The following is a 7558-nucleotide window of genomic DNA, read 5'->3' on the forward strand; positions in this document are numbered from 1 at the left end:
TCAATCAATACCATTATGATTACCCAACTCCACCACAAATGTCTAAAAGCTCCCAATGAAAACCATGGCTCTAGAATCTCATTCAACAGCCAACTCAGGATCTACTTGGATGTCACATGCTACTCAACTGTCCATAATTACCTAATCTTTCTCCTAAACTCCAAAACCATCTCTCCTACTGTTCCCCATTTTCAATTCCCTTATTGAGACTATTATAGCTACTGATAGTATAGGACTTATGTGTGTAGAATTTTTTTTTGATTTGTTCTTTTTGTATCCCTTAGAATAGTGCTGGGCATACAGTAGTCAACTATTAAATATTTGTTGAATGAATACCTAGCAAAATTTCCCATTCCCCTACCTTGAGTAACAAACCCCAAAACAATTTGGAAGGGGAGAAACCTGCAAGAAGAGAGCATAGACTCTTGGTCAGAAGCCCCTGCTTCCTACAGAATCTCTGCTAATACCCTTGATAATTCTATTGGCCCAAGATGCAAAAAAGCCCAGAACTACTGCTTAAACTTTCCCACCAAAGTACTTGCGCCTGGCTGGGAAGATTGAGTCAGCCCCACTGGAGGTCTGGAAAAGAGGCCCAGATTCACCAACCTCAAGCATAAAATTTCTCTGAAGTCTGGCCGGGCGGGGTGGCTCATGCCTGTAATCCCAGCACTTTGGGAGGCTGAGGCAAGCAGATCACTTTAGTCCAGGAGTTCAAGACCAGACCTGGCCAACATAGCGAAACACCATCTCTACTAAAAATACAAAAATTAGCTGGGCATGGTGGCGGGCACCTGTAATCCCAGCTACGTGGGAGGCTGAAGCAGGGAGAATTGCTTGAACCCGGGAGGCAGAGGTTGCAGTGAGCCAAGCTTGCGCCACTGCACTCCAGCCTGGGTGACAGAGCGAGTCTTTGTCTCAAAAAAAAAAAAAAAAAAAAAAAAAAAAAAAATTCTTTGAAGTCTCACATTTTATCTTTAAAATTCATGCAAATTTTATGTTTTATTCCCATGTTTGTTTTAACATTAAAATAATGTTTTTAATTACCACCCTTTAGGAGAAAAATTCAAAGCCTGTTTTCCCAACTCTTTAAGTAGAAATTCACACTCCAGGAAGACATTTCTTGTTCATGCTGTGGCTCTGAGTAATTCCTGGCATACCACCGCCTAGCTCTGGTGGTAATTATACTAACAGCCAACATTTATTAAGCACTTATTATGTGCCAGGCAATATATTAAGCACTTAACATGCATTATGTCTTTAAACCTTGCAACAGTCCTATGAAGTAGGTACAATTTTTATCTTAATTTATAGATGAGGAGACTAAGGCTCCAAGAAGGTAAGTAATTTGCACTATATCACTGAGCCAATAAGTGGAAGACGTGGGATTCAGCTCAGTGTTCTCAATTACTGTGCTGCCCATTCCAGTTTGAACAGCAAGGTCCTAGACTTCTAGAACAAGACGGGCTTAAGGCAGCAGGAAAGCCCTAAGAAATCATCCAGCCCCAGTATTTCACAGACCAGGCAAAGTTCTGAGGTGTCTGTGGATTTCTTGGTGGACATATTTTCAGGGGTCCACAAGTGCTAAGATAAGTTTCTAAATGGATGTCTTGGTTTCAATTATAATCTACAAATAATAATAATATGAGTAGGAATCACTAAGACAACCATCTTGTAAACAATCTCTGGCACCCCAAAATTTAGTGATGATGTTTGTGCAAAGTGATTGCCTAAAGTGACAGAGTTTAACAGAGGCAGATATCTTAGATTGGAGGCCAAATTTTCAAGGGTCAGCAAGAAGTTGATTCCTTTAAAACAGTGATTCTCCACAAGGTGTGATTTTGACCTCCTCTCCCCAGCATATTTGGCAATCTCCAGACATTTTTAGTTGTAACAACTGGCAGCTGGGGGTAGGGGCCAGAGATGGTTCTAATCATCCTACAATACACAGGACAGCTCCCCACAACAAAGACTCATCCGACCTGAAATGTCAATACTGTGGGTGAAGTTGAAAAACCCAAACTTTAAAAGCGTGTCTGTGAGGAGAAAAAGAACAGAGTGGAGGGGAAAGGACTGAAAATAAGGCTTCTCCGAATGAAACTTGTTAGATAGCTTTCACTTTGAAATAGTGTAAATGATTCATGAAAATGTTTAAATCATTAAGTCATATAAATTTTTAAATAATCCCTAAAATGAAAAGCCAAAACACAGACATATATTTATATCAGGTTGATAATATGACCATACAGAAACAAAGAATTACTCTAGGTGACTTTTAAACAAAGTATTTTGGGTCATAGATCTTCAGTGGGATATGTTCTAAAGATAAAGGGAAAAAAACAACAAAGAAATCTTAAACTACTTTCAGTGGTCTTATTGCTAGTGCTGTGGTTTAAATGTGCCCCACCAAAAGTTCATGTGTTAGAAACTTGGTCCTCAATGCAACAGTGTTGAGTGGTGGAACTTCTGGGAGGTGATTGGGTCGTGGTGGCTCTGCCTTCGTGAATGGTAATATGGTTTGGCTGTGTCCCCACATAAATCTCATCTTGAATTCCCATGTGTTGTGGGAGGGACCCGGTGGGAGGTAATTGAATCATGGGGGCAGGTCTTTCCCGTGCTGTTCTCATGATAGTGAATAAATCTCACAAGATCTGATGGTTCTGTAAGGGGGAGTTTCTCTGCACAAGTTCTCTCTCTTTGCTGCCATCCATGTAAGACATGACTTGCTCCTCCTTGCTTTCTGCCATGATTGTGAGTCTTCCTCAGCTACATGGAACTGAAGTCCATTAAACCCTTTTTTCCTGTATAAATTACCCAGTCTTGGGTATGTCTTTATCAGCAGCATGAAAATGGACTAATACAAATGGATTAACCCATTCATAGATTAATGAATTAATAATATGAGTAGGAATCACTAAGACAACCATCTCGTAAACAATCCCTGGCACCCCAAAATTTAGTGATGACGTTTGTGCAAAGTGATCGCCTAAAGTGACAGAGTTTAACAGATGCAGATATCTTAGATTGGAGGCCAAATGTTCAAGGGTCAGCAAGAAATTGATTCTTGCTGAGGAATCTTGTTGAGGAAGTGAGTTAATTATCACAAAAGTGGCTCTGTTATAAAACCAGTTTTGCTGTCCCTCGTGAGTCCCCTGGCCACGTGATGCCCTTCACCACCTTGGGAATCTTCAGAGTCCCCACTAGCAAGAAGGACTTCACCAGATGCAGCTCTCTGACCTCAGACTTCCCAGCCTCCAGAACTGTAAGAAATAAATTTATTTTCTTTATAAGTTACTCAGTCTCAGGTATTCAGTGATAGCAATAGAAAATGGACTAAGACAGCTAGTAATAATATTGATACCACTATTCTGAAGTATGTCTATTGTGGGAAAAAATAAATTAGTAATTATATGAATGTTGCTAGGATCCAAGAGTGTCAGGACAAAAGAGATACAAATGTGACATCAAAGCAGTTAAGCAAAAAATGTATCATCTTAAATTTGAGTTGGAAATATCAGCACCACTTAGTAATTTTCCCCTTAGTTAAAAAAAATACATATCTCTAGCTCTTTATACTTTAAAGGCCTGGAAGCAATAGCAACCCAGTAGCAACATGTACCCCCAGCAGGCACAGAGTGAAATCTCTAAATGCCATTCCACACAAAAATGGGCCGGGGCTTTCCACATTCTCTTATACAGAAAATGTATAAGATGAGCCTGGGATGTCTTGTCATGTAAGAAAGCATGGAAGTTCTCAAAGGCCAAGGAGGTCACACCAAAAGGCTATCAGAGCCAGCTTAAGGGGGCCCTAAGCCAGCAAAGACTGGACAACGAGGCCTTCAGGAAGAATAATTATAACAAACAATGAAAAGACTTTGAATATAGACAAAGCCATGAGGTCATGCTGATTCTCTTTTTTTTTTTTTAGTGGCAAGAAGAAACAAAATAATTTACTACGGGATGTTTCTTTTCTGTTGTTGTTGTTTTTTGAGACAGAGTCTCACTCTGTCAACAGGCTGGAGTGCAGTGGCGAGATCTCGGCTCACTGCAACCTCCGCCTCCTGGGTTCAAGCGATCCTCCTGCCTCAGCCTCCCAAGTAGCTGGGATTACAGCCACATGCCACCACGCCCAGCTAATTTTTTGTCTTTTTAGTAGAGATGGGGTTTCACCATGTTGGCCAGGATGGTCTCAATCTCTTGACCTCATGATCCACCCACCTCGGCCTCTCAAAGTGCTGGGATTACAGGTGTGAGCCACCATGCACGGCCGCCACTGGGTGTTTCTAAGGCAACAACTTGTTATCTAAAAATTGATCATTAAAGAGTTAAGCATTTATCATGAAGAAGAATCCTAATACTAATAGTGGACATTTAATCAGTGCTCTGAAGTTTACAGAGCGTTTTCCTATACCTTTTTTCATTGAAGTCCACCACAGCTTGTATCTGGATGTTCTCAGCATCTCTGAGAAATACAGAAGCCTCTTCAGACCAGCAAGAGCAAGGAAACTGCTTCTACTTTGAGATTCACTAAAGAAATGGGGAAGTGGCCAGGCGTGGTGGCTCAAGCCTGTAATCCCAGCACTTTGGGAGGCCGAGGCAGGTGGATCACCTGAGGTTAGGAGTTTGAGAACCAGCCTGGCCAACATGGCGAAACTCCATCTCTACTAAAAATACAAAAAACTAGCCAGGTGTGGTGGTGGACGCCTGTAATCCCAGCTTCTTGGGAGGCTGAGGCAGGAGAATCACTTGAACCTGGGAGGCGGAGGTGACAGTGAGCTGAGATCAGGCCATTGCACTCCAGCCTGGGCAAAAAGAGCAAAACTCTGTGTCAGAAAAAAAAAAAAAAAAAAAAAAAAGAAGCAAGGAATTACCCTAGGAAAGGGCATTTAATTCTCTCTTGGAAATTTAATAAAACCTGGAGGGTTTTCTAAAAGAAAAAAAAAGTTAAGGATTTATCCTGCCTTCCATCATAAACTGTATTTCAAGGTAATATAGTTAAAACATCCCCACTGGACCACCCACATGCAGTTTCTTCATATATCTTGAGCTTCTTACAGCAATAGCTGACAAGCTGCTTAGACTAATACTTAGGACTAGCGCAGTGTCACTTTTCCTAAGTTCAGTTGGTCGAAGTAGTCACAGACTCAGCCCAGATTCAAGGGGATAGAGAAACAGACTCAGTGGGGGAGTTCTATGCATGTACAGAAAAGGAAGGAATCAATGGTTCTTCCAGAGAGGAGACAAGCTCCACAGACACGCAGTGACAATTCTGAAGCATGGGGAGATGCTTTTCCCCCTTTGTTCATTCCACCTTTTAAACCTCTCTCAAATCTATTCTCTTGTCGTCATCCCTCCCATCATTATCTTAGTCCAACTCCGGGAGAGTGATGTCCTCATCTCCCCTCATTCTGTTATTGGCTAATTTTTGCAAACTCCCTGAGAGTTTTCCAGAAGGCCAGATAGCCCAGATAAAACAAGCAACCTAGTAAGGTGAAACTGCTCACAGGCTCACTGAACATTGAAAGGAAAGAATTGCCAGGTCCTCTGATTCTGCCGCCGCTGGTCACTATGTTCCTTTGCAAAGCTCACTTCTTAAAACCAGGTCACAGAAATTGTCCTTGCTAGGTCCCAGTGAGTTTGAATTTCTTTAAAAATAGCTTGTTCTTCAAGTGCAAAAAATAACATCTGAGATGTTTGTTTAAGTGTGAAACACACCTTTGTCATGACTCAGTACGGGCTAAACGGAAATTTATTAAACTTCCCAAAAAGAAAATTCTTCTCTTGAACCATGGGAGCTTGAGAGATGACAGCTTGGGAAACGGGAGGCGGGGGGAGCAGAAAGAAGAAAAGAGGCAGGTGGAGCAGAGAGAAAGCATGGAGGCTCTTTCTCATCTCTGTGGCTTTCACACGCTATTCTTTCCACCTTGAACGACCTTCCTCCTCTAGCGAGCTTGATAATGTTCTTGCCTTCCTTGAAGCCTAATTTAAATGTCACCTCTGTGGAGCCTTCTCTGACCCCTCCAGGCAGAGTTTCTCACTCCCTCTTTGTTCTCAAAACACTTTGTACATGTCTTTATTATTAGCACATCGTATTGAAGTTGTCAGTTTACAGGTCTGTCTCTCTTCCTAGGCTGTGAGCTTCTCAGCAGCAGGGACACTGGGTGAGTCATCTGTGAACCCCTCCGCCTGGCATTGGGCCTGGCACAGGGAGAGTGTTGGCAAAGGTTGTTGATAAGAGATGGTCTCCAGGCTCAGCGGGAGATGCCTTAAATCCTGAGATGACTGCTTTCATCCCTCGTTCTACTTTGCAAAAGGTTCCTGACTCTCTCCACACCCTTCTACTGCCAAATCTTTCAGTCTACCTGCCTCTGAACTCATATGCTCTGCCTTCACTCCTTTACAACGGAAGAACTGTCCTCATGCTACCTAAGGCCAGCTGCTCCCTGTGTCCACCAGATCCCATGCCCTTTATTACTGCAATTATCCTCCTTTCTCCTGCGTCATTGATAATTTACCCTTTCTATTTCCACCGATGTACAAATACTCTGTGCTTCTCCCAATTAAGGACAAACACACACACATGCATACACACGCACAGTCCCATTTCTCTGCATTTATTCTATTCTCTGCTCAACCCACTCTACTCTGCCCACTCACTTAATCTTGTCAAGGTCACCAGTAATTTCCATGTTGCCACATCAAAATGGTCAATTCGGTTTTGGCCTCAGCTTACCTGACTCAGTAGCATTCAGCACCATTAATCCCACTCTTTGCTGCAAACACTTTCTTCCGGGGTAACCAGGACTCTACAGCCCCTCCTCATCTCTCCACCTCACCAGCCACTGCTTCTCAGTCTCTGTGGCTGTGAAGGAGTTGGATGATCCTTCCTGTCATCCCTTCCTCTAATGTTGGAGTACCCCAAGGCTCAGTCTCCCGACAGCCCCACTATCAAACTCTCTGTGATCCATCCAGTCTCATGATTTGATAGAACGATCGACAATACTCAAATTTCTATCTGCTGCCCCACTCTGAACTCCAGGCTCAGTGGCTAAGTGCCTACTCAGCATCTGGACTTGGAGATCTAAAAGGCATCTCAAACTTAACATACTCAAAACCAAACTTGTGATTCACTACTTCTTCACCAGGGTCCCCAATATCTCCATAAAGGTCACCACAGTTCACCCAGTTGCTCATGCCAAAAGCTTTGAAATTCTCTTTAATCTTTTTTTTTTTTTTTTTTTGAAATAGAGTCTCACTCCGTCGCCCAGGCTGGAGTGCCCAGCCTGGGCAACATAGGGAGACCTCAACCCTACAAAAAATATTTAAAAATTAGCCAGGTGCCACGTCATGCATCTGTGGTCCCAGGTACTTGAGACTGCTTGAGCCCAGGAGTTCAAGGCTGCAGTGAGCCGTGATCACACCACTGCACTGCAGCCTGGGCAACAGAGCAAGACCCTGTCTCAAAAATAAGTAAGAGGCCGGGTACGGTGGCTCATGCCTGTAATCCCAGCACTTTGGGAGGCCGAGGCGGGTGCATCACTTGAGGTCAGGAGTTTGAGAC

This window comes from Homo sapiens, chromosome 9 (assembly GCF_000001405.40).
Source record: "Homo sapiens chromosome 9, GRCh38.p14 Primary Assembly".
Taxonomy (NCBI): Eukaryota; Metazoa; Chordata; class Mammalia; order Primates; family Hominidae; genus Homo; species Homo sapiens.